General features: G+C 50.4%; 1 protein-coding gene and 1 pseudogene across 3 annotated transcripts in view, besides 2 other annotated features; both read left to right on the forward strand.

The window, feature by feature from the left end:
• EFHD1 (EF-hand domain family member D1) overlaps window positions 1-25,165 on the forward strand; it is a 76,720-nt gene that overhangs the window by 19,869 nt on the left and 31,686 nt on the right. The window contains exons 1-2 of one of the 3 annotated variants that reach the window (NM_001308395.2): window positions 7,679-8,081; window positions 12,481-12,559. The exons of 1 other annotated variant lie outside the window; for it this stretch is intronic. Coding sequence is in view for 1 of the 2 variants with exons in the window: in NM_025202.4 (NP_079478.1) it covers window positions 7,780-8,081 (302 nt within the window). In the remaining variant the exon portion in view is untranslated. Of the gene's footprint in view, window positions 1-7,678; window positions 8,082-12,480; window positions 12,560-25,165 lie in introns of those variants that run through there. One more of the 3 variants, NM_025202.4, reaches the window with a different exon arrangement.
• Window positions 7,717-7,776: a silencer, noted in NCBI's record as "silent region_12461". NCBI's record gives its function as "represses an Ori minimal core promoter by ATAC-STARR-seq in GM12878 lymphoblastoid cells {active_cell/tissue: GM12878}" and the evidence as "EXISTENCE:reporter gene assay evidence [ECO:0000049][PMID:35858748]".
• Window positions 7,854-8,148: a silencer, noted in NCBI's record as "tiled region #9991; HepG2 Repressive DNase matched - State 4:PromP, and K562 Repressive non-DNase unmatched - State 4:PromP". NCBI's record gives its function as "represses a minimal TATA promoter and a strong SV40 promoter by Sharpr-MPRA in HepG2 and K562 cells {active_cell/tissue: HepG2 | K562}" and the evidence as "EXISTENCE:reporter gene assay evidence [ECO:0000049][PMID:27701403]".
• On the forward strand, window positions 23,929-24,222 carry RN7SL359P (RNA, 7SL, cytoplasmic 359, pseudogene; annotated as a pseudogene).

Here is a 25,165-nt window from a genome sequence, read left to right on the forward strand (position 1 = left end):
CACACCTGTAATCCCAGCATTTTGGGAGGCTGCGGCGGGAGGATTGCTTGAGCTCAAGGTTCCAGATCAACCTAGGCAACATGGCAAGACCACGTCTCTACAAAAATACAAAAATTAGCCAGGTTGGTGGCATGTACCTGTCTGTAGTCCCAGCTACTTGGGAGGCTAAGGTAGGAGGATTGCTTGATCCCGGGAGGTTGAGGCTGCAGTGAGCCATGATCACAACACCGCACTCCAGCCTGGGTGACAGAACAAGACCTTGTGTCCAAAAAAAGAAAAAAATATATATATATCCTTGATGAAGCAGGAAAATAGTTTTTAATTTTATTAAATTTTGAGGCTGGGCATGTTGGCTCACGCTTGCAATCCCAGCACTTTGGGAGGCTGAGGCAGGCGGATCACTTGAGATCAGGAGTTCAAGACCAGCCTGGCCAACATGGTGAAACCTCACCTCTATAAAAAATACAAAAAAATTAGCTGGGCGTGGTGGTGCATGCCTATAATCCCAGCTACTCTGGAAGCTGAGGCATGAGAATTGCTTGAACCCGGGAGGTGGAGGTTGCAGTGAGCCAATATTGAGCCACTGCACCCCAGCTTGGGTGACAGAATGATAACTTGCCTAAAATTAATTAATTAATTTATTTATTTATAAATTTTGATCCTTAAGTACACACCTTTTTAATATTTGGTGTAATGGATGGAAAGTGAACATAAAGCCCTTCTGCTGCAGATGAAAGTCTGTTAGTCATCTTGAGAAAAGCATTTGTGCTGTTGTTTGTGAGCTGAACTAGCTCCCCTTTCAGGAAACATGAATTTTGCCTGGAAGCACAGCTGACAATCCATGGCTATTCACAGTTGGGTATTCAGAGACACTGTCTAGAACAATGAACAAAGTGAGCCTGTCACTTCAAGGTAAACAATTGATAGTACTTTCCAATAACAATAAAATGTGAGCTTCAGAGAAAAACTAGAATTTTGGGCCGAGCATGATGGCTCTTGCCTGTAATCCCAGCACTTTGGGAGGTCAAGGCAGGAGAATCACTTGAGCCCCAAGTTCAAGACCAGCCTGGGCAACATAGTGAGATCCTGTCTCTCTCTCTCTCTCTCTCTCTATATATATATATATATATATATATATATTTTTTTTTTTTTTTAATTAGCCAGTTGTGGTGGCACACACCTGTAGTCCCAGCTACTAGGGAGGCTGAGGTAGGAGGATCACTTAACCCCAGGAGTTTGAGGCTGCAGTGAGCTATGATTGTGCCATTGTACTCTAGCCTTTGTGACAGAATGAAACCCTGTCTTAAAAAAACACAAACAGAAAAAAAAAAAAAACTAGAATTTTGGAAAACTTTAATATCATGTAAGTAAAATATGTCAACATAGCCAATGGTACAAAAATATGCATAGGTCATGGATCTTAAATGTGCAAGACAGAGCAACAGATTTTTCTGAAACAGAGTACGTAAAGTTTGTTCATGTACTTTCAGTTTCCACATTGCAACTAAACCTCAAGAAATCACTACTTGCCTAAGCTTTGGTGTCATATCAAAGAAGAATATCCACCATTATCTGAAAAGCCTATTAAATGACACCTCCCTTTTTTCAGCTATATATCCAACTGTATTTCCAGCGACCTGTGGAAGATTGGATTTTCTTCATATACTTCAAACAAAACAAATTGCAACAAATCAAATGCAGGAGCAGATGTGATATCTAACTATCTTCTATTAAGCCAGATGTAGAAGACATTTGCAAAAGAAATTTTTGCAAATGTCTTCTATATTTGCAAAAGATACTTGCAAAAATGTAAAACAATGCCTCTCTTCTCTCTTCTTATCAATGTTATTTATGTTAATATGTAATGGCTTATTATTATATTATTTTTAAACTAAGATTTATGGAGATATAATTCACTTATCATAAAACTCATCCTTTTTTTGTTTGTTATTTTTTTGTAAAACTAATCATTTTGAAGTGTACAATTCAGTGGTTTTTGGTGTATTTCCAGAGTTGTAAAACCATCGTCACTATCTAATGTTAGAATATTTACAATTTAATGAGGCACGGCAGGAAGAAACATGGAATGAAGACTCTGCACCAAAATGAAGTGCTTAACAATGTTTTATTTATTTACATTTATTTATTTATTTGAGATGGAGTCTCACTCTGTCGCCCAGGTTGGAGTACAGTGACGTGATCTCGGCTTACTGCAACCTCTGCCTCCCAGGTTCAAGTGATTCTCCTGCCTCAGCCTCCTGAGTAGCTGGGATTACAGGCACCTGCCACCAAGGCCAGCTAATTTTTGTATGTTTAGTAGAGACGGGGTTTCACCGTGTTGGCCAGGCTGGTCTTGAACTCTTGACCTCAGATGATCTACCTACCTTGACCTCCCAAAGTGCTGGGATTACACATGTGAGCCACTGTGCCTGGCCATGACATGAAATGCTTAACAATGTTTATAAAAGTCAAAACCTTTTGCTCTAAAACAAATCAAAATCCTGAAATTTTGACTTGTTCAAGAAAGAAGTTGACAATCCAAAAACAAGTGGGAGGGAATACCTCTAGGGATGAAAGCAGCCCTGGGGTTTTGCTCTTCCCTTTCTGGAATTTAGTTCATTCTGACTTCTTTGTGACTTGCAGATCAGACTTTCCCACAGGACTCAGAGGCCCGTACTGACCTATCGGGGCTGAAAGAGAAATCTTTTCTTGTCCAGATGCCACAGAAATGGACTCAATTCCGCAGGGATTTGAGACTCAAATCTCCATTCTGACTCAATTCTGCAGGGATTTTCAGAGGGCGGGCAGGCAGATTATAACATCCAAAAAATGGCCACAATTTCTCCCTGGAGAGGTAGGGGTCTATGATCCCTCTCCTCGAACTATGCTCCCTCCCCTTTGTCACTGGCTTGGCCTATAGAGTTCAGCTATGTGACTTCTGAGGCTACATCACAAAAGGTGATACAGCTGCTACCGGACTCTCCCTCTTGGAAAGCCTACCCTTGGAGCCTAGTGACCATGTTGAGAGGAAGCCCAGGCCACGTGGAGAGGCCACGTGTGGGTGTTTCAGCCAACAGCCCCAGTGAAGGGCCCAGCTGGAGCCGGCACGGATCCTGGGACATGTGAGGGAGGGAGTCTGCAGGTGGTTCTTGCCTCCAGCCTTAGCACAGCCCCCTGCTTTTGATAAGTGTATTAGAGCAGAGATTTCCCCACAAAACTCTGCCCAAATTGGACATCTGTGAGCAAAATAAATGTTTGAAGCCGCTACCTTCAGGGATGGTTTGTTACACAGCAATAGAACTGAACAAGAAGTCTTGGAGTGAAAACAATGATTTTATTTTCCCTGGGAAAGGCAGAACCTCCTTTGGCCACCCCAGAATGTTAGTGAAATAAATGAGCTCATGGGATGACACAGACAAAACATTTTCAGCTGCTCTACAGCAAAACATCCGCCCTCCATTCTTCTTCACTATAAACAAGAAGTTTCATTTTCTGATTACAGTTTTATACATTCATTGTAGGAAATTCAGAAAAATGAGATTTTCTTTTTCTTTTTTTTTTCATATGGAGTCTCACTCTGTCTCCCAGGCTGGAGTGCAGTGGTGCCATCTTGGCTCACTGCAACCTCCGCCTCCCGAGTTCAAGCGATTCTTCTGCCTCAGCCTCCCGAGTACCTGGGACTACAGGTGCGTGTCACCACGCCCGGCTAACGGTTGTATTTTTAGTAGAGATGGGGTTTCACCATGTTGGCCAGGCTGGTCTCGAACTCCTGACCTCAGGTGATCCACCCGCCTCGGCCTCCCAAAGTGCTGGGATTATAGGCATGAGCCACCACGCCCGGCCAAAAAAAAATGAGAATTTAAAAAATGAAAATGAAAATTATCTGGACTCTTAGCATTTATAACTGTTAATAATTTGCCCCCTTTAGTTTTTTTTTTCCATATATAGATATTTGTTTTACAAAACATGGGTCATATTTGTACAGTAAGATTGATATTGGCCCATGATTCAACAAGCATGTTTTTTGTTTGTTTGTTTGTTTGTTTGAGACAGGGTCTCTGTCGCCCAGGCTGGAGTGCAATGGCTCGATCTTGGCTCACTGCAATCTCCACCTCCCAGGTTCAAGCGATTCTCCCACCTCTGCCTCCCAGGTAGCTGGGACTACAGGCACATGCCACCATGTCCAGCTAATTTTTGTGTTTTTAGTAGAGGCGGGCTGTCACCATGTTGTCTAGGCTGGTCTTGCACTCCTCACCTCAAATGTTCCACCTGCCTCAGCCTCCCAAAGTGCTGGGATTATAGGTGTGAGCCACCACAGCCGGCCCAGCAAGCATGTTTGAGTCTTTGTCAGGTGCCCGACTGGACATCGGAAAAGAGGAGAAGGAGAACAGGCTTTGGGCTGTGGCCGTAACGGTGACCACCTGGAATTGTCACTAGTGAGATACTAACACTTCATTCTGAGGGGTGGCCAGGTGTTGCCTGGTGAATACTGTGGGCCTGTGCTATTTTCCCTCAGGGGCGGGACATAGCTCAGAGGGCGTTCTGTCTAGGCTGGGTGCCTGGTGGACACAGCCCTCAATCTTTGCCCCTTGCAGATGATGTGCCTTTTGAGAGGCACCAGGTGACTGCTCACAGTATGCAAGCGCATTATCTAAAAGCACTCCCTCATTTGGAAACACTTCAATGAAAAAGTGAAATTTTGTTCACAATCCACTCCCATTAATTTCAGAATTTTCAAGGCTGGGCACCGTGGCTCACCCCTGTAATCCCAGCACTTTGGGAGGCCTAGGCAAATAGGATCAATTGAGCCCAGGAGTTCAAGACCTGCCTGGGCAACATAGAGAGATCTCATCTCTATTAAAAAAAAAAAAAAAAGAAAGAAAGAAAAGAAAAAAAGTCATTTTTAATTTAAAAAATTTTCAACATTATATTCATAAATAAAAAGAGCTGTTAGATTTTTTTAACACTAACTGTTGTAAATTTCAGCATGTAAAAAATGGTTTAAAAATTCTATTACTGGCCGGGCACAGTAGCTCATGCCTGTAATCCTAGCACTTTGGGAAGCCAAGACAGGTGGATTCCTTGGGGCCAGGAGTTCAAAACCAGCCTGGCCAACATGGTGAAACCCCGTCTCTACTAAAAATATAAAATATTAGCTGGGCTTGGTGGTGGGTGCCTGTAATCCCAGCTACTTGGGAGGCTGAGGCAGGTGAATCGCTTGAACCTGGGAGGCAGAGGTTGCAGTGAGCCGAGATCGCACCACTGCACTTCAGCCTGGGCAACAAGAGCAAAACTCCGTCTTAAAAAAAAAATTGTATTACCTACTCATGCAAAGTTTCTCTCTCTCTCTCTCTCTTTCTTTCTCTCTCTCTCTCTCTGTCTCTCTCTCTCTCTCAGACAGGTCTTACTCTACCACCCAGGCTAGAGTGCAGTGGCATGATCATGGCTCACTGCAGCCTCCACCTCCCGGGCCCAAGTGATCCCAAATAGCTGGGACTACAGGTGCATACTACCACACCTGGCTAGTTGTTTTTTATTTTATTTTTATTTTTTATTTTATCTTTTTTTGTACACAAGGTTTTGCCATGTTGCCCAAGCTGGTCTCAAACTCCTGGGCTCAAGTGATGCGTCTGCCTCTGCCTCCCAAAGTGCTGGGATTACAGGTGTGAGCCACCGCGCCCAGCCCCAGAGTTTCTTGTTGATGGAGACTATTAAGAATTTTGAACTTTTTCTTTCTTGAGGAGAGCTCGATGGAATAAGAACATTAAAAAAAAAAAAAAACAAAAACAAAACCAGCTGGGTGTGGTGGCTCATGCCTGTAATCCCAGCACTTCGGGAGGCCGAGGTGGGAGGATCGTCTGAGGCTAGGAGTTCACAACCAGCCTAGCCAACATGGAGAAACCCTGTCTCTACTAAAAATACAAAAAATTAGCCAGGTGCAGTGGTGGGCGCCTGTAATCCCAGCTACTCAGGAGGCTGAGGCAGGGGAATCACTTGAACCCAGGAGGCAGGGACTGCAGTGAGCCGAGATCATGCCATTGCACTCCAGCCTGGGAAACAAGAATGAAACTCCATCTCAAAAAAAAAAAAAGTTTTTAAAATATAAAATTAAAAAAAGTTTAATTACACAAAATTTTTGACCTTATTTCTCTGAAATGTGTCACATAAAGTGGTCAAAACAGATGTGACAACAAAGCCAACCTTCTAGTCACCACCACCAGGTCAGGAAGTGTAGCGCCCCGTGATCTATTTGCAGGGTTGCCATTGTATATGTAAAACCCGTATTCTCTGTACCAAGTCAAGTTGTTCAGTAGGAATGTTAAAGATTTTTATACTTTTCTTTAAAAAACGTATTTTCCTTTATAACTTTTTAAAAATAACATTTTAACCCAGGTCCCCCGCATGCCCTGCACTCGCATGCCAAAGGCTGGTCCCTGGGTCTCAGACAACCATAGTCCAGCGGGGTCACTGACCTGCCCCAGTCATCAGCCCATGGTGGGTCAGAGCAGCGTCGTTCTCAAGTGGGGACAGACCCGTGTTTACAAGATTCTCAACGCCTGGCTGATGTAACAGCGGCATCAGCCTTCCTTGGGGAGAATGACGACTGTATTTGTTTTTACCCTCTTGTTAAAAATGCTGATTTAATTTTCAAGCTTCTTTTCCTTCTTTCCTTTCTTTTTTCCTCCCCCTCTCCCTCCTTCTTCTTCGTTTATTTTTAGAGCCAGGGTCTCACTCTGTCGCCCAGGCTGGAGTGCAGTGGCCTGACCATGGCTCGTTGCAGCCTCGACCTCCCGGGCTCAAGCCATCCTCCTACTTCAGCCTCCTGAGTAGCTGGGACTACAGACGAGCGCCACTATGCCTGGCTGATTTTTTAAAAGTTTTTGTAGAGACAGTCTAACTATGTTGCCCAGTCTGGTCTCGAACTCCTGGGCTCAAAAGATCCTGCCACCAACACCTAAGTGTTGGGATTGCGGATGTGAGTCTCCGCGCCAGGTTTCTTCTCTTTTCTTGTGCGTTTCACGCAAAAAAACCCGAGTCCCTGAAGCTACGCTGCTTTCCTGCCTCTAGGGAAAACGGGAGTTTTTTCTGCTCGTTTGCTCTCTCTCTTTTTTGTTTGCTTATTTGTTTTTAGTATTTTTAGCATGTTTTGGAAACATTTCGTTCCAATGAGTGTTTGAAAAGCAGCTCCCCCGCCCCACGCTCCGGGCGGGCGCCTCCCACTCCCTGACCCCGGGGAGGGTGGGCACCACTCCCAGACGCGGGGGACGCGTGGGTGTCGCTCGGGGGCGCTCGCCTCCCCCACCCAGCCTGTCCCGGGCCGCGAGCGCTTCCAGTCGGGTTACTTCTGGGGGACAAGAAAGGCACCGTCTGAACGGTCGAGACGCTTTTTCCCGCTACGGTTTTCCCCGGAGCTGACAGGGGCAGCAAGGTCGGAGTTGATCCGAGGGTCCCTGCCTGGTCCCGGGGGGACGGTCAGCCTCCCGCCCGGAGCCGCGGGGAGAGGAAGCAGGTCGGGGTCTCCGGGACGCGCAGACACCCAGACACCGGCGGCCTCCTCCCACCAGGCTGGCAGTCGCTGAGCCCTGGCGCCTCCTTAAAGCCGCAGCTCCGCCCCGACCGCCCCGCCCGCCAGTCCGTCCTCAGACCCTCCCAACCGCCGGGTCCCCGCCGCCTCGGCGGAGTGTTGTAGAGCCTCGAGCCTGCGAGGAGCGCGCCGCCCGCCAGCTCCCTGCGTCCCGTCCCGCGTCCCCGCGTTCCCGCGTCCTGCGATCCGCCGCCATGGCCAGTGAGGAGCTGGCGTGCAAGCTGGAGCGCCGGCTGCGGCGCGAGGAGGCCGAGGAGAGTGGCCCCCAGCTGGCTCCCCTCGGCGCCCCAGCCCCGGAGCCCAAGCCCGAGCCCGAGCCTCCCGCCCGTGCGCCCACGGCCAGCGCCGACGCGGAGCTGAGCGCCCAGCTGAGCCGGCGGCTGGACATCAACGAGGGCGCTGCGCGGCCCCGGCGCTGCAGGGTCTTCAACCCCTACACGGAGTTCCCGGAGTTCAGCCGCCGCCTCATCAAGGACCTGGAGAGCATGTTCAAACTGTGAGCTCCCGCTGCGCGCCCTTCGCCCCCGGGACCAGGGAGGGAGCGGGAGGGCTTTCTGGTCCGAAGTCCCGGGCCCTGTTTGTGTGGGGAGGGGTCCCGGGGTGCAGGTAGCATTTGGCCCAACGCAGCCAGATCTTGCGTGCTCGGGTCTATCTCGGCGCGGTGGGGGACGGGGCCGAAGAGGGGGGACACCAGGAGCAGGAGCTCTCCGGGACGGAGCCCAAAAGTTCTCGGCGGCTGCCGGGCCCGAGTTCCAGGTCCCCCAACCCCGACCACTGGTCCCGCCCCCTCCGCCCGCCAGTCCGGAGATTTGCTCCGAAAGCAACTTCTAGGAAAGGGAGCCGTCGCCGCGCCTCACCTGCCAGCTTTCACTGTATCCCCCCAAGGGAAAAATTAGCCCCTGTTGGCCTTTTATCTTTTAAAACAAAAGGGGAAAGTTAATCCTTGGCTGCAGCGCGGGGTCTGATGAATGAGCGGAGGCCGAGAACGGGGAGTTTGGTAAAGTCGTTGTAAGAGATTCAGGACTTTCCTGGAGCAGGCGCGGCCCGGGAGCCTCCTGGGGGCGCGGGGAGGGGGGGCGGTTGTGGGAACCGAACTTGGCCGCTGGCACCGGTCCGGCGGGGGCTCGTTGCGGTCCTGCTCTGTGAGCCCCAGTGCGCGGGGAGCCGCTCACCTGGGGAGACACTGAGCCAGAGGCAGGCGATAGAGACCCACTAGTCCACCTCGTCGCCTGGAACCTCCGGGGATCTCAGTTTCCTCATCTGGAGAGTGGGAGCAGTAACAGTCCCTGCCTTTTAAGGCCGAAAAGTATTTTGCACCCGGTAAGCTCTTAACCGAGCTATTAATATTTCCAGAATTGAGCCGAGACCGGAAAAATGCCTGGGGGAGCTGAGGCCGCCGGCCAGGTCATGCTTGGGCGTTTTTAAAAGCGCATGGAATGTGTTTGCCCTCCGCGTGGAGGTTCTATTTAAAGGCGCTGTGACTGGCGCTGCGTCGCCTGAGCCTCCGCTGCCCCTGCATGGAGGTTTGCAGAGCCGGCACTTGGGAGCCTCCGCCTCCTCTGCCTCCCTGACACCCTGGTTTCTTTGTCTGGCTTCCAGGCACTGATCTGTGGCGTTTTCTGGGTCTAGTTTGGGCAGTTCAGGAAGGCCCAGTGCGCTAAAGAATGCGGCTGGGGCGAAAATGGAAAAGCAATGGGTGAGGCAAGGTTTGTTGGAGCCCTTTGATTTCTCTGGGGTAATGCCTTTCATGGGAAGACTGCCCTGGCCGGGCTGCTCCCAGACCCCACCAGTTCCTCCCAGTCCAGCTGGATTCAGGGGATCTTGGGGAGGGACCTTTATCTTCAAGTTTTCTTGTGGCCACTCAGGCTTCTTTTGTTTTTCCTATAAAACAATCTTTGGAAAGATCAACTTGTAGTTGACTACCTAAGAGTGATAAAAAGAGTCCATATGCTCAGAGGGTCTTGGGAGACGAAGCAAGGTGGCATCTGTGAGCAAACAGGTACTGGACCAGGATCACGCAAAGGGGAGCCGGGCACAGTGGCTTACGGCTGTAATCCCAGCACTCTGGGAGGACGAGGCAGGCGGATCACCTGGGGTCAGGAGTTCAAGACCAGCCTGGCCAACATGGTGAAACCCCATCTCTACTAAAAATCCAAGAATTAGCCGGGAGTGGTGGCGCGGGCCTGTAGTCCCAGCTACTCGGGAGGCTGAGGTGGGAGAATTGCTTGAACCTGGGAGGCAAAGGTTGCAGTGAGCAGAGATCACACCATTGCACTCCAGCCAGGGTGACAGAGGGAGATTCTGTCTCAAGGGGAAAAAAAAAAAGCCAAGGGGAAGGCAGTGTGTGGCCTGGGATCCCAGCAGAGCTAACAGTTCAACCAGTACTTGGTATTTCTTTCTAGGTTGAGTTTTCTGTCACTTGCAACCAAAATTGGCATAAACAAAACGAGAATAATTTGGCTGAGGAAACCAAAAAGCCATCACTAGCTTCAGGTGTGGCTGGATCTAGGCGCTTAGGTGCTGCCATCAGTGCTTAGTTTCTCTTTTTGTTAAGCCACCTTCCTCTCTGCGTTGTCCCCGTTCTCAGATGGCTCATCCTTGGTGGTGGTGGTATGGCCACAACAGCTTAAATTAATAACATAAGAATGTTAAAAACACTAAAGAAAATGTAACACACCAATTTGTTTTCTATTGGATTACCTTCCAGATTTTACTCATGGCAGCAGCAGTCTTGTGAGGCTGTGAAGAGTGAGCACTTGGAGGCAGGCTTCCTGGGTTCAAACCCCAGCCCCACCACTTGCTCCCTGGAAGGTTCCTTGGGCAGCTTATTTAAAAGCTCTGTGCCATCAGTTTTCCCTTCTGTCAAATGGGAAAGCACAGGACCTGCCATGTGGGGTTATTGTGGGGATTAAATTAATTCATGTATGTGATGCATTTAGCTCCATGTTTCAGCCTATGGTGAAGGCCAGGTGGATTTTAGCCCCTAATTTTTAGATTATCACATATCCATAATTTGGGTAAATGTGCACATTTGGCTGGGTGTGGTGGCTCACACCTGTAATCGCAGCACTTTGGGAGGCTGAGGCAGGCGGATCATGAGGTCAGGAGTTCGAGGCCAGCCTGATCAACGTGGTGAAACCCCGTCTCTACTAAAAATACAAAAATTAGCCAGGCATGGTGCCACACGCCTGTAATCCAGCTACTCAGGAGGCTGAGGCAGGAGAATCGCTTGAACCTGGGAGGTGGAGGTTGCAGTGAGCCGAGATCACGCCATTGCACTCTAGCCTGGGCAACAGAGTGCGACTCCGTCTCAAAAAAATAAAAAAAGTACACATTTTGTGTTGTCCTTTTTTGTTTAATAATTCACTTTGCTGAGTCCACTTTATCTTTTGAACCTGATTTAGCCCACAGTTTGAGCTGTGGAGTGGTGACCTGGCCTCTTGGTGAGTTCCGGGTCCCCGTGGGACTGTGTGCTTTGCCCTTCCGGGTTCTGCGGAAGGAACTCGTTAGCTCCTCTGCTGCTGGGTGAGGTCGTTTGTTTCTTAGAGCTGCCTGAATGAAATGCCACAAAGTGGGTAGCATAAAACAACAGAAGTATATCCTCTCATAGTTCTGGAAATCAGAAGTCTGACAAGTCTGAAACCAACGTGTCAGCCGGGCTGTGCTGCCCTTGAGGCGCCAGCGAAGACTCCTTCTGTGCCTGTTTCCTGGCTTCTGGTGGTTGCCAGAATTCTTGGTATTTCTTGTGGTATGGGCGCATCACCGTAATCTCTGCCACCCTGAGCACCTGGTGCTCTCCCTGTGTGTGTTTCTGTGTCTTCACATGGCCTTCCTTTTTTTTTTTTTTTTTTGAGATGGAGTCTCACTCCATTGCCCAGGCTGGAGTGCAGTGGTGCGATCTTGGCTCGCTGCAAGCTCCACCTCTTGGGTTCATGCCATTCTCTTGCCTCAGCCTCCCGAGTAGCTAGGACTACAGGCGCGCACCACCATGCCCAGGTAATTTTTGTATTTTTAGTAGAGATGGGGTTTCACCATGTTGGCCAGGCTGGTCTTGAACCCCTGACCTCAAATGATCCACCCGCCTCAGCCTCCCAAAACGCTGGGATTACAGGCGTGAGCCACCGCGCCTGGCTTAAGAATTTCACTTTTAAGCAGTTTCTAGATTCATGTTCTGATGTCGCCTTAGTTCGTTGGGCCCCTTGCAGTATATAACCTGATTAGACCAGTACAAAGTACACCCTGTCTTTTTGTTTGGGGCTAGAAAGATTCATACAGATACTGGGAGACATGCTTTGATCGTTTAAATTTGATTTTCCTATTTAAAAGTATTTGGCTTAGGGATTTCTTACATTTTCAAGGCTTAAAAAAACTGGATCCTTCCCAGCCTCTGAGTTTGTTGGGTGCTTGGAGTGGTGTCCTTTGTGAGTCCTTAGGACCTAACAAATGAGGCTGGCTCCTAAATGGTGTGTTGTAGAAGAAAGAGTGTTTTCTAATGAGTGTGGGAAGCCAGAGGCACCATCAGCCCGGCCAGAGAAAGTTCCCTCTCCATTTCCAAGCCTGTTACTGGATAGCCTGAGCCAAGAGAATAGTGGCCTGATTTTAAAAGAATGAGAAGGCCCAGAAGAAACTGACTCTACAGCGTGTATCCGTGGCTGTAACGTGAGCTGGTGGAGCAGTCAAGGTTAGACAGGAAATTTTAATTACCCTGGACTTATCTGGAGGCCTCTTTCAAAGGGAGGCAATGAGGGCAGCCACTTAAAGGCAGGACCCCAATGCAACATCTTAAAATGCAGCCGCAAGGTTTTTGCAGCATACTAAAAGCTTGTGTTTTAATTCCCCAAAGAGAGGGTGGGAAGAGGAACATTTGGCTATGGGAAAGTTGTCTTTTTCTTAAGAATCTGAAACGGTGATGTCATGGATGTCCTGCCAGTGCCAGAGTCCCGCGTTACCAAGACACCAGTGAAACCCAAAAAGGTGAGGCTGTCGTGGAATTCTTCATTTCTCGTCCCCTCTCCTCTCCCAGTTTCTTTTTCTCCTCCTTAGTCTTGTCTCTAAAGGAGAGAGAAGCGGGTGTAGATTTGGAAGGCTGGGAATTTTCCAAAGAGGTAAAGTGAGCCCTCTTAGGGAGGCTTACTGGGGAGGTGGAGGTGAGGCTGCCTGCATACTGGCATCCTGATCTTTTGAGTGAATTGACTCTAAAAATGGGAAAGATGGGTGGAAATAAAAGGAAGAAGTTAAGTGCTTTCTTTTTCCTTGGAGAAAGGCAAGAGGTACTGACTTGTCCTGGCTATAGCTTCAGTCAACAGTGATCACCTTAGATGTGAAATTTTCTCACCTGCACTGGAGTTTGTACATTTGACAATTTTGAATTGGGGGGTAGGGTAAGAGGACCTAGGGCTTGTCTGAATTCTGGAGGATAGCTTTAGGTCAGCCTTCTGTTTTGGGTCTTAGTTTCTGGCAGAAAGACCCCATGCCTTGGAACTGTGTCTTAGACGGGTTTAAGTGCTGGCTGCTTTTACTTGCCAGCACGCATGATTAACCCATGTAGGAGGAGCTGGAAGGAGCTTCCACAGTTGCTGGTGGGTTTATCTTTGTAGGGAGTTCCCTCTTCCTCCTCATTCCTCGCTCCACACCTCCCTCTCCCTGGGATGTCTCCTCCACCATCCTTGTTACAGAGCCATCGAATTTTATGAGAATTTGAATAATGGAAATTTGAAGTTGAGTGATGAAAACAGTTATTAAAGTGTTACATTATACAGAAAGAGAAAGGTCCTTTCCCCCTTCTCCCTTGCAGGATTATTAAAAAGTGCCTGATTTCAAAGCTGTAAGGTCCAGGAGACTTTAACTTTTTTTTTTTTTTCTTTTCTCAAGACAGAGTCTTGCCATGTTGCCTAGGCTGGTCTTGAACTCCTAGGCTCAGGTGATTCTCTTGTCTCAAAGCGCTGGGATCATAGGCATGGGCTACTTCGCCTGGCCAGACTCTCTCTCTCTCTCTTTTCTTAAATGTTGTTGTATACCAACCAAACTAACTTTATACCCTCAGCCCTGTGGTACCCCCTGGACCAACTAGTATATAGGAATACTTCTTCCATTGACCTGCAGGGTGTTTGATTGGCATGGGGCTATGTTCTGCATGGGTTCATGGTGTGGCTGAGTTAGTGGGTCTCCAAAGATGTGCCGAATGGCCTAAGAGTCCACAAATCAGGTCTTGGGAGCTAGAGGGTGCCAGGCTGTCTACAATTGATATTCATCTTAGTTAGGAGCCCAGCACATCCTCAGGGCACTGACATCTGGGGTTGGCACACGTTTGTCTTTAGCTTTAGACTTCACAAATCTCTGTATATCATGTGCAACCTCACACACTCACACATGCCTACCTGCGTGCTCACACACTAGCTCACTCCCACAGCCACTTTTCGGGTGAGGCTGTCGCGGACTCACCTGTCGTGACTCACCACACTTGGCCTCCTCCACATTTTACAGTCCTCCCAGAACACCCCTCTATAGCCTCCTCCTGCTTCTGTGTCCCCTGAGTGTTGGTGGCCAAAGGGCATCATTGATCCTAAATTCTAGATGCTTCTTGGCAGGAATAACCTTGAGTTATTGGAGCATGGACCATGATCCTCCATTCCCAGCAAGATGAAACCTGACCTGTGGTCAATGACCTGCCAAGACATGGCCTTCCACGTTCCAAGGCTGCAGAGGTTCTGTGGTACCCCTGGTCCAACTGGTAAACAGGAATACTTCTTCCATTGACCTGCAGGGGCTTTGATTAGCATGGGGCTACATTATGTGTGGGTTCATGTCGTGGCTGAGCTAGTGGGTCTCTAAAGATGGGCGAATGACCTAAGAGTCCACTTAGGTCTCCTCCAGTGTTCCCAGCTCTGGGCTTCTGTGGCCAGCACTGTCCATATGTCTGCTAGTGTGTGCTCCTGTGGTACCATATCATGATGATGATGACGATGATCACCATGAGCCCCTTTCCAACCTGCTATGAGCTATTCATTCACTCATTCATTTTTTCATTCATTTAGCTAAGCACCTGCCAGGTGCCAGTTTATATATACTTGTATAATCTGGAAGGATCTTGGCCCTTGAGAAGCTCAACAAATGCTGACAGCAAGCTGGATGTAACATGATGCTGTTTGGATGGGAGGGATGTCACTCCCCGAGAAGCCACCCACCACCCACATACAGGAGGACACTCCAGTAGCTGAGCAGACCCTGAGAGGATGTGAGAGTTGGGGACACTCTGACCTCAGGCTGCTGCATTCAAAGCAGGGGCTCCTGGTCGTTCTGGGCACAGCCAGGGAGGAGCAGCCACCAAGGACTGTGAAGGGATTCAGGCCCTGGGTGGAGGCAGCAGGGAAGGCCCTTGGGATGAACCTCCTGGAGACAGAGAATGGGGGCTGAGAACTTGATCTCAGTGGTGAGTGCTTGACCTTGGATGGCAGAAGGAGGGCAGTGAGGGCTCAAGGAAAGGAAGCTGCAGCCATCGGGAAGCAAGAGCCTTCTCATGGTGGGAGTTAGTATTATTATTACTATTTTTTGAAACAGGGTCTCTCTCTGTCACCCAGGCTGGAGTGCAGTTGCACAGTCTTGGTCCACTGCAACCTCCACCTCCCGGGCTCAAGTGATCCTCCCGCCTTAGCCTCCTGAGTAACTGGGACTACAGGCACGACCACCATGCCCAGCTAATTTTTGTATTTTTTGTAGAGACGGGGTTTTGACATGTTGCCCAGCCTGGTCCTGGGCTCAAGTGATCCTCCCATCTCTGCCTCCCAAAAGTGTTGGTTACAGGCATGAGCCACCGCACCTGGCCACAATCGGAGTTACTGAGAAATGGAACGAAAGGTCTTGCAAGGTGGTGAGCTGCTTTCTCTGGAGTTTCACTGGAAGGGAGGTACTCTGACTCCCTGGCGTGAGAGGCTTGCAGTTAGGAAGGGCCGAAAGCTTATGGAGGCTAGGAGATGGGCTGTGTGACTTCCAAGATTCTTTCTAGGCCATGGGTGGGCAAAGTTGTTCTGTTAAGGGTCAGATAATCCATCTGTTTGGCTTTGGGCCCTAAGGTTTCTGTTGTCCCTCTGCAGCCTGCCATTGTGATATGAAAGCAGCCACAGGCAATATGCAAATGGCATGGCATGGCTGTGTTCCTGTAACACTTGGTGAGCATGATTTGGCCTGCAGGCCCAAGTTAGCCAGCCCCCATGCTAGGCAGTCGCTTTAGAATCTTGAATCCAGAGCCTGATCTCATTTGTCCCCTTTCTCACTTCTCGGCCTTTCCTCCCATCAGTGGCCTCAGGTCCAGAGGGGACACGGTGGAAGCCTGGTGTCCCCCCAGTTGGGTAGGCAGCATAGTGAGGCCTGAGTTCCAGGACCCCAGAGTTGCTTTTGGAAGATTAGCACTGGAGAAGGAGCAGGACCTGCATCTGCTTCTTCTGCGGGCTGAGGAAGCCTCGCAGCTGGCGCTCACAGCTGGAGCCCCGGGGTAACACTCCCCACCCTAGGAAGGCTTGCCTTCCTATGGCTTCCCCTAAGAGGTGGTCCATGGTGTGTTTGAGCTTAAAAACTCCCAATGAAAAAGACAAATGAGGCCGGGAGTGGTGGCTCACGCCTGTAATCCCAGCACTTTGGGAGGCCGAGGTGGGTGGATCACAAGGTCAGGAGCTTGGGACCAGCCTGGCCAATATGGTGAAACCCCGTCTCTACTAAAAATACAAAAATTAGCAGGGTGTGGTGGTGGGTGCCTGTAATCCCAGCTACTTGGGAGGCTGAGGCAGGAGAATCACTTGAACCTGCAAAGCAGTGAGCCAAGATTGCACCACTGCACTCCAGCCTGGGCGACAGAGTGAGACTCTGTCTCAAAAAAAAAAAAAAAAAAAAAAAAGACAAATGAGAAACAAAAGCTAATTAGCCTTGGGTGTCTGCTTAGCCCCGTGGTTGGAGCAGGAGCTCTTGACTTCCGGTCTTGGAACTCTCGCCAATAGTGTGTGGAATTGCACTCTCACACCTGCTGGGAGACCTTGCTTTTCAAGGGGGTGTACAGCTCCTCACCCCAGAAAAATTTGAGATCTACTGGTTTGGAGGGAAATGGGAGATAAGAATCTTATGACTTAAGGAAAACTTATTTTTTGTTATCAAATTATAGTGTTCCCCATTGAAAATTTCCTTTAAAACTGTAAAGATCTTTAGGAAGTAGAGAGTGGAAGCCGATGCTGTTCTGTTCCCGAGGGTCACCTGCAGCTGTTCCCGAGGGTCACCTCCAGCTGTTCCCGAGAGTCACCTCCAGCTGTTCCCGAGGGTCACCTCCAGCTGGTTGGGTGCATGTTCTTACACAAGATTGTGAGAGACGATCTATGCTGTTCTGCCTGTATTACTTGGGAGGCCTTTGGCTCAAATGATGGAAAACTCTGCCCCAAACTCACTAATGAATAAAGAAATGGATCATCTCATGGATGAGGGCGTCCAGAGGACAAGGGTGGCCCTGGGGCAGTGGTTGGTTGCTGCTGTCATCCAGGACTTGGGTTCCGTCCTCTGCCCTCTGCCACCCTCTGTGCTGGCGTCAAGGTGGCAAGGTGTGAGTTTCCCCGAGTCACATCAGCTGCGACAAAATCCAGAGGCAGGAAAGACCTAGAGTTCTTCTAAACAATGAGGAAATTAACATGTAACCAGCTAGAAGTGAAAAAAAAAAAGAAAAAATAAACAATGAGGAAATCTTCCTCTATGTGTGCCCCAAGCTGGCCTCTGGCATCCCATCACCAGCCCATCCGGGGTAGTTTCCATTCCCTGAGGGATGGAGCCAAAACTGGGTTCTGTTAGTGAGGAAGGAGAGGTGGGTTTTTACTGAATAACGTTCCAGGGCTCTTTTCTGTCCATCTGTGTGCTTTGTTTTCGTTTGTATTTTTTTTGTTTTTTGAGACAGGGTCTTGCTCTGTCACCCAGGCTGGAGTGAAGTGGTACGATCATGGCTCACTGCAGCCTCGACCTCCTGGGCTCAAGCCATCCTTCTGCCCGAGTCCCCGCACCCCAACACCTGGCTAATTTTTTTTTTTTTTAGTAGAGACGGAGTTTCACCATGTTGCTGAGGCTGGTCTCAAACTCCTGGGCTCAAGCAGTCTGCCCACCTTGGCCTCCCAATGTCCATCTGTGTTTTTTTGTTGTTGTTTGTTTGTTTGTTTTTGTTGTTGTTGTTTGAGGCAGTCTTGCTCTGTCACCCAGGCTGGAGTGCAGTGGCAAGATCCTGGCTCACTGCAACCTCCACCTCCTGGGTTCAAGTGACCCCCCTGCCTCAGCCTCCTGAGTAGCTGGGATTATAGGGCGTGCTACCACGCCCAGCTCATCTGTACTTTTGTGTACATGGGAGGGACTTTTGATGTCAGGCTTGGTTTCTGGAGGCCAGGCAGGGAGCAGCCCATTCCTGGGGGCTCCTGAAGGCCAAATGCATAGGTCTTTCCTGTGGAACATCATTTTCACTGGGATTCCCTGTGATTTTTCTCTTGCCTGTGGGGGTGGACCCACAGCTAGGAGTGCTGTGTGTGCAGTTGGTGCTGAGTGGGCTGTCTGTGTCGACCGCTCCCAGGCCAGCTTTCAGGGAACCCCTCCTTCCATCTCATGTTGCCCTTCCTCCCTCCAAAGAGCCTGGCATGGTGGGCCCGCCCCCTGGGTTTGGAGGGCTTGATCATTCTGCCTCACCCTCCTGACTGCTCACTGTCTTAGAAAACGTTTGGCTGCTACCCTGTGTCTCCCCAGACCCCCTCCCCAAACCTCTTTTATTCTTTTTCTCATCGGGGGTGCCATGCCCCTGATTTCGTCTCCTCTTAGAAGGGGCTCCAGCTGCTATCTTTGGCCAGGAGTTGCCATGCCTTGATGGTCCTCATTCCTTTAGTGGCTCCTGGGCTTCTGTGGCTAAGGGCACCTCTGTTGGCTTGGAGGCCTTTGTATAAGTCAGGTGTGAGTGTGTGTTGGGGGGTGTTCAGGGCTGGTTTTCTTTTCTTTTTTTTCAATTTTTTTTTTTATTTTTGAGACAGAGTCTCACTCTGTCGCCCAGGCTGGAGTGCAGTGGTGCGATCTCGGCTCACTGCAACCTCCGCCTCCCGGGTTCAAGCAATTCTGTCTCAGCCTCCCGAGTAGCTGGGATTACAGGCACCTGCCACCATGCCCGGCTAATTTTTTGTATTTTTAGTAGAGATGGGGTTTCACCATCTTGGCCAGGCTGTCGTGATCCACCTGTCTTGGCCTCCCAAAGTGCTGGGATTACAGGCGAGAGCCACTGCACCTGGCCTAATTTTTTTTTTTTTTTTTTTTAATTTTTAGTGGAGACGGGGTTTCTCCATGTTGGTCAGGCTGGTCTCAATCTCCGGACCTCAGGTGATCCGCCCACCTCGACCTCCCAAAGTGCTGGGATTACAGGCGTGAGCCACCATGCCTGGCAATTTTTTTTTTTTTTTTTTTTTGAGAGATAGGTCTTACTATGTTGCCCTGGATGGTCTTGAACTCCTGGGTTCAAGTGATCCTCCTGCCTCAGCCTCCTAAAATGCTGGCATTAGAGGTGTGAGCCACCATGCTGGCCTCCTGTTATTTTATTTTTTAATCTTAGCCTAGCACACCTTACTCCCAGTCATGTTGCTGAATGAAGGGAAATTCTTTGGTTTTGGAGCTCAGACCTGGGTTGGCAGTGACAGTGGCAGCATCCTTCCAGGCCAGGCAGAGCCCTGGAGCGGGCCACATCCAAGGCAGACACGCCTCAGCCCCCTGCCACGGGTCAGGTTTGCAGGAAGTAGGAGGATGGCCCCCTGCCTCGTGCCCACGGCTGGCCACTCTGCCCCTTCTGGGTGGTGAAACAGCAGAGACCCCCACCCCACAGGGCCGTAGCTGATCCCAGCTCTAGGGTTTGACATCTCCACCCCCAGGTTTCCCCAGCACCCCTCACTGAGCACCCACTGTGCCTTGGGACAGCCCTGATCAAAAAAATCTGGCTGCTGACAGCCCTCACTCTTTGCCCACGAGGACCTAGTGAACTCTGTTGCAGCCTTGGAGAAATGCTGGCCTCCGATGCTGTCCTGTTTGGCTTTGGTGGTGACAAGGTCTCTGCCTCCTCTCTAAATGCGTCGTGCCTCTCCACCCTATAATGGCTGACTTCATGGATCATTGGGTATCCCTAATGCCACCTAACAGCCCCACTGACTGTGTGCAGGGCTGTGCTTAGCGATTTCCACATGGGAACTCATGCTTCACGACACTCCAAAGGAGGTACGATATCAGACCCCATTTCACAGATGAGGAAACTGAGGCACAGAGAAGCCAGGGAACTCGCCTAAAGTCACACACCTTGTAAGCGGTAGAGCTGGGATTTGAACCCAAGTGGCCTGCACTCTTGTCCAGTGTCACATGCCCGTCTCACTAATGTTCTTCCCACCTCCCAGCTTTCCAGCCTCCAAATCTCAGCCATCCTCGACACCATCCCCTGCATAGCCAGGCAGGGCCTTGGCTGGCACAGTCTCTGCAGGCAGCCTGACCTCCAGGCCCTATTGGACCACCTGCCCTGAGCCTGTAGTAGCTGCCTCAGACCTGGCCTCCCCCATCCGTCCAACATGTTTTAGCCGGGCTCACCAGAGCCCAAGATGTCATTACCTTGCTTCCCTCTTCACAAGTTATTTTGGGTTGGGGTGGGGCAATATACAACATTCGGTAGCTCCCTATTGCCCAAGGAAAAAAGTCTAGACTCCTCATGTGGACCCTTAAGGCCCACTCCAGTTGGCTGTCACAGTCTTCTCTCTCTCTGGTTCCCCCCACCCAGGCCTTGCTCTCACTGAGCTGAATGGCCCCCACAGCCTCTCTCCTGTAACCCTGCAATTCCCAGTTGATTACACTTAGGTCTGTCCGTTGTCTGTTATTGCTGATTCTCTCTTTTCTCTTCTCTTCTCTTCTTTTTTTTTTTTTTTTTTTTTTTTTTGAGACAGTGTTTCACTCTGTCACCCAGGCTGGAGTACAGTGGCATGATCTCCGCTCACTGCAGCCTCCGCCTCCTGGGTTCAAGCTATTCTCCTGCCTCAGCCTCCTGAGTAGCTGAGATTACAGGCATGCGCCACCATGCCCAGCTAATTTTTGTATTTTTAGTAGAGATGGGGTTTCACCATGTTGGCCAGGCTGGTCTTGAACTCTTGACCTCAGGTGATCCCCACCCACCTCGGTCCCAGAAAGTGCTGGGATTACAGGCATGAACCACTGTGCCCGGCCGGTTATTGCTGATTCTTATGATGCTCCCCCACCTTCCAGAGTTTCCCTGGGAAAGCAGAGACAGAATGTTCATGGCTGAAAGTGGCTAACCTCTTCCTGCAGTCCCCACGCCCAGCCCAGGGCTTGGCCCAAGGCCATGGCAGAGTGGGCACCTTGACCTCTGTGGAGGCTTCTGAGCTCTGCCAGCTGTAGCTGCACTGAGGCCCTGATGACTGCTGAGAGGAGCTTCACAGCTCCCTGCGGCCATGGGAGGTAATGTGAGCCTTCAGTGGGGTCATGCGGTTCCCTCCAGCAGAGCCACTGACCCACACGGGCACACACCTGTAAGTGAGACCTGGAAAAAGGTAAGTGACCACCTTCTCAGGTTGTGCACAAGACCTCATGACCACTCGGTGTGCAGTCATGGCCTTAATTAGGGCACTTATGTTCCAGCCCAGTGTTCTTTCCACTGAGGGCTGCTGGGTTTAAGGTGGTGTGGGCCTGGAGTGGAGAAAGCAGGAAAAGGTCCTGCTGGCAGCAGTGGGTGGAGAGGAAATGTCGAGAGCTGCATGGGTGGCAGCCCAGGGTGTCCTCATCTCCCACTTGGGGTGATGGCCTGGCGCCCTGTAGTCCGCTTGCGTTGGGCTGGCTGCCCTGGCCTGCTCTGAGACCTGTGCCCCCTGGGCCACTGCACACCCCCTCGTCGGGGCCTCCCTCTGGCCGTTTCCTTCCCTGACCTTGGCACTGCTGGAACTGCACCAGGCACAGCCCAAATGGAGTCTAGTGTGGAAACCCTGTGTTGTTTGGGAACATCTGTTCCCTGATATCCACAGGGCTCCTGGGAATTCCAGAAGAATTAGGTTTCCAGGGGCCCTTCCAACCCAGTTTCCTGGCCCCTCAGGACTCTCCTGTTAGAACTTTTTTTTTTGAGACGGAGTTTTGCTCTTGTCGCCCAGGCTGGAGTGCAATGGCATGATCTCGGCTCACTGAAACCTCTGCCTCCCAGGTTCAAGTGATTCTCCTACCTTAGCCTCCCAAGTAGCTGGGATTACAGGCACCCACCACCACACCCGGCTAATTTTTGTATTTTTAGTAGAAACGGGGTTTCACCAGGTTGGCCAGGCTGGTCTCAAACTCCTGACCTCAGGTGATCCACCCACCTCGGCCTCCCTAAGTGCTGGGATTACAGGCATGAGCCACTGCACCCGGCCTCCTTTCAGAACTTTTATGCAGACCTGGCAAGGTGGCTCACTCCTGTAGTCCCGGCACTTTGGGAGGCCGAGGCAAGAGGATTGCTTGAGTACAGGAGTTCAAGACCAGCCTGAGCAACATGGCGAAACTCTGTCTTTACAAAAAATATGAAAAACTAGTTGGGCATAGGAGGTACGTACCTGTGGTCCCAGCTAGGCAGGAGGCTGAGGCGTGAGGATTGCTTGAACCTGGGAGTTGGAGGCTGCAGTGAGCTAGTATCACACTCACTGCAGTGAGTGAATAAGCCGAGTGTTTGGGGCACAAGGAGAGCTGGGAGTTTATCGGACAAAAGTGGCTATGAGTGGTTTGATTGGATGATGAAAACTTTGGGTCAAAGCTTTTGTATCTCTGAGTCCCCTGGCCCTTTTTCAGAGCCTGCCCACCCTCAGTCTGCATGCAGCTAGAGCATTGGGAGTGACTGTTTCCCAGCCCGCAGCTGGTTGGGCAGGAAGGAGGAGCAGGTGATTTGACAGCTGGGGAGGACCCACCCAACCAGAGAAAACTAGAAACTCAGAGAACCTTGCAGGCAGGGATGTAGGGAGAGGGACTACAGTCCTGTGACCTTAGGGAGTCTCCGAGGCTCATCTAGATAGGCACAGCTGGGGACACCCATAGGGTAACCCCAGGAGGGCCCCTGGGAAGACCACCTGCCGGTGGGTGTAGTCTGTGCTGCCCTTCTCTGCCTTGAACGTGCCCAGGGGCTGTGGTGTGGGGGGCTTGTGAACATGCAGGCTCTGATTCAGCAGGTCTAGGGGTCTCGGTAGAACTTGAGACTGCATTTGTAACACTCCTGGGTGACCGTGATGCTCTGGTCTGGGGACCTCACTTTGTGGGGCCAGCGCCTGGCTGTTGAAAAAGGCAATGCGTGATTTCTATTCCAAGCCTTTCTGTGTGAAGAGAAGAAGGTACTCTTGTGTCCTGGTGTCCCTGAGATGCAGGCAACCCCCTCCCATCACTAAGGCGTGTTCTGGGGCACTGCTACCCTCCTGAGAACACCCTATCTGAGAGATCCCTGGGGAGTTTCCAACAGCTGAACCTCTGGTGGACAAAGGCTGGCCAGCTTCTTTTTCCATGAATGGCAGGATAATTCCTGGGAGGGAAGTTAGAAAACCAAGAAAGCCTGGGGCTCTCTGCACAGTGGAAGCCAAGAGAATAAGTGACTGACTCATGGACCTGAAACCGGGAGGACGCCGGAGACCAGCCATTGTCCCTTGCTGCTGTCCTCTTGCTAGCTGGCCCTGGGTGGGGTTGGGGTCGGAGTCACCTCGGGCCCTTTGGCGGATCTGGGGGCTTTCCCAGGCAGTGGGCACGCACAGCAGCAGATGGTCAAGCGGCCCACACAGTCACGCCTCACTCTACCGCTCAGTGGTGGCCTCAACTAGTAGATGAGTTGAGAAGCCTTTTCCAGGAGACCTGGGGAGGCGGGCCTTATCCTCTGATAGGACTGGGCCCTAACAGTCACTCAGGAATGGCTTTGTGGAGCGGTAGCACAGTGACCATGGCAGGTGGCGGATTTGGGTTTTCCCCAGAAAGCTAAAGATGAGGCTGTCTGGGACAAGTTGGGTGTGGGCAGCTTGTTAGAGTGGAAGCCCTGGGAACTGTCTGCTTCCTCATGACCGCAGACAAGTGCTACTTTAAAAAAATAGCCTCCTCACCGATAGCTTACCTGGGCCTGTGTCCTGTGCAAGGGGATGATTTCCTTTGGGCCCCTCGACCACTCTGCAAGGCACACAAGGCTCATGGCAGTCTCAAGTTACAGATGGGGCCAAGTCTCTCCCAAGAGGGTGGTGGGGCTGGTTTAGAATCTTTCCAACTGCCAGTGGAACCAGAGTCTCCCCCTAACAGAGTCTGGAGACTATAAAGATGAAAGGGACTGAGCGTGGTGATACATGCCTGGAGTTCCAGCCACTTAGGAGGATCTCCTGAGCCCAAGAGTTCTGGGCTTTCTGGGGTCTGTGCCCATCGGGTGCCCACACTGAGCTCAGCATCAATACGGTGACTTCCCAAGAGGGGAGGTGGGGTTAGGGGGGATCACCAGGCTGCCTAAAGAGGGGTGAACTGGCCCGGGTCAGAAGCAGCAGGTCAAAACTCCCGTGCTGGTCAGCAGTGGGATTGCTCCTGTGAATAGCCACTGCACTCCAGCCTGGGCAACATAGCGAGGCCCTATCTCTAAAAAGTAACAATAGCAAAGATGAAAGGAACTGAGAAAATGGAAAATATGGGAAAAGGCCACAAGTCCACAAGGAAGCTCTAGGATGCAAACAGGGGTGCAGGGTCTTTTTACGGGTAGTTTTTCTTTACTGTTCTGGGTTGCCTTTTTTTTTTTTTTTTTTTTAAGAAGGTGTTTCATTCTCATTGTCCAGGCTGGAGTGCAGTGGTGCAATCTTGGCTCACTGCAATCTCCGCCTCCCAGGTCCAAGCGATTCTCCTGTCTCAGCCTCCTGAGTAGCTGGGATTACAGGCATGCGCCACCACACACGGCTAATTTTGTATTTTTAGTAGAGACAGGGTTTCACCATGTTGGCCAGGCTGGTCTCGAACTCCTGACCTCAGGTGATCCACCCGCCTCGGCCTCCCAAAGTGCTTTTTTTTTTTTTTTTTTTTTTTTTTGAGACTGAGTTTCACTCTATTGCCCAGGCTGGAGTGCAGTGGTGCGATCTTGGCTCATTGCAACCTCTGCCTCCCGGGTTCAAGCAATTCTTGTGCCTCAGCCTCCCAAGTAGCTGGGATTACAGGTGCTCACCACTATGCCTGGCTAATTTTTGCATTTTTAGTGGAGATGGGGTTTTACCATGTTGGCCAGGCTGATCTTGAACTCCTGACCTCAGGCAATCTGCTCGCCTCAGCCTCCCAAAGTGCTGGGATTACAAGTGTGAGCCACCACACCTGGTCTATTCTGGATTGCCTTTAATTAAAAATATATATGTATATGGATTAACGTTTAAATTATAGGGAAAAAAAGAGCTAAGATGTTGGCAGAGAAGGAGCTGGGAGCTCAGGGAACTCCAATAAGCCTGACAGCATTTGAAAGATGTAGGCTGTAGGGAGAAAAAGGAAAGACGGTGATCATTTGAAATAAGGAGGGAGGGATCCAGGGTTAGGCCAAGCATGTGG

Source organism: Homo sapiens, chromosome 2, assembly GCF_000001405.40.
Source record: "Homo sapiens chromosome 2, GRCh38.p14 Primary Assembly".
NCBI lineage: Eukaryota > Metazoa > Chordata > Mammalia > Primates > Hominidae > Homo > Homo sapiens.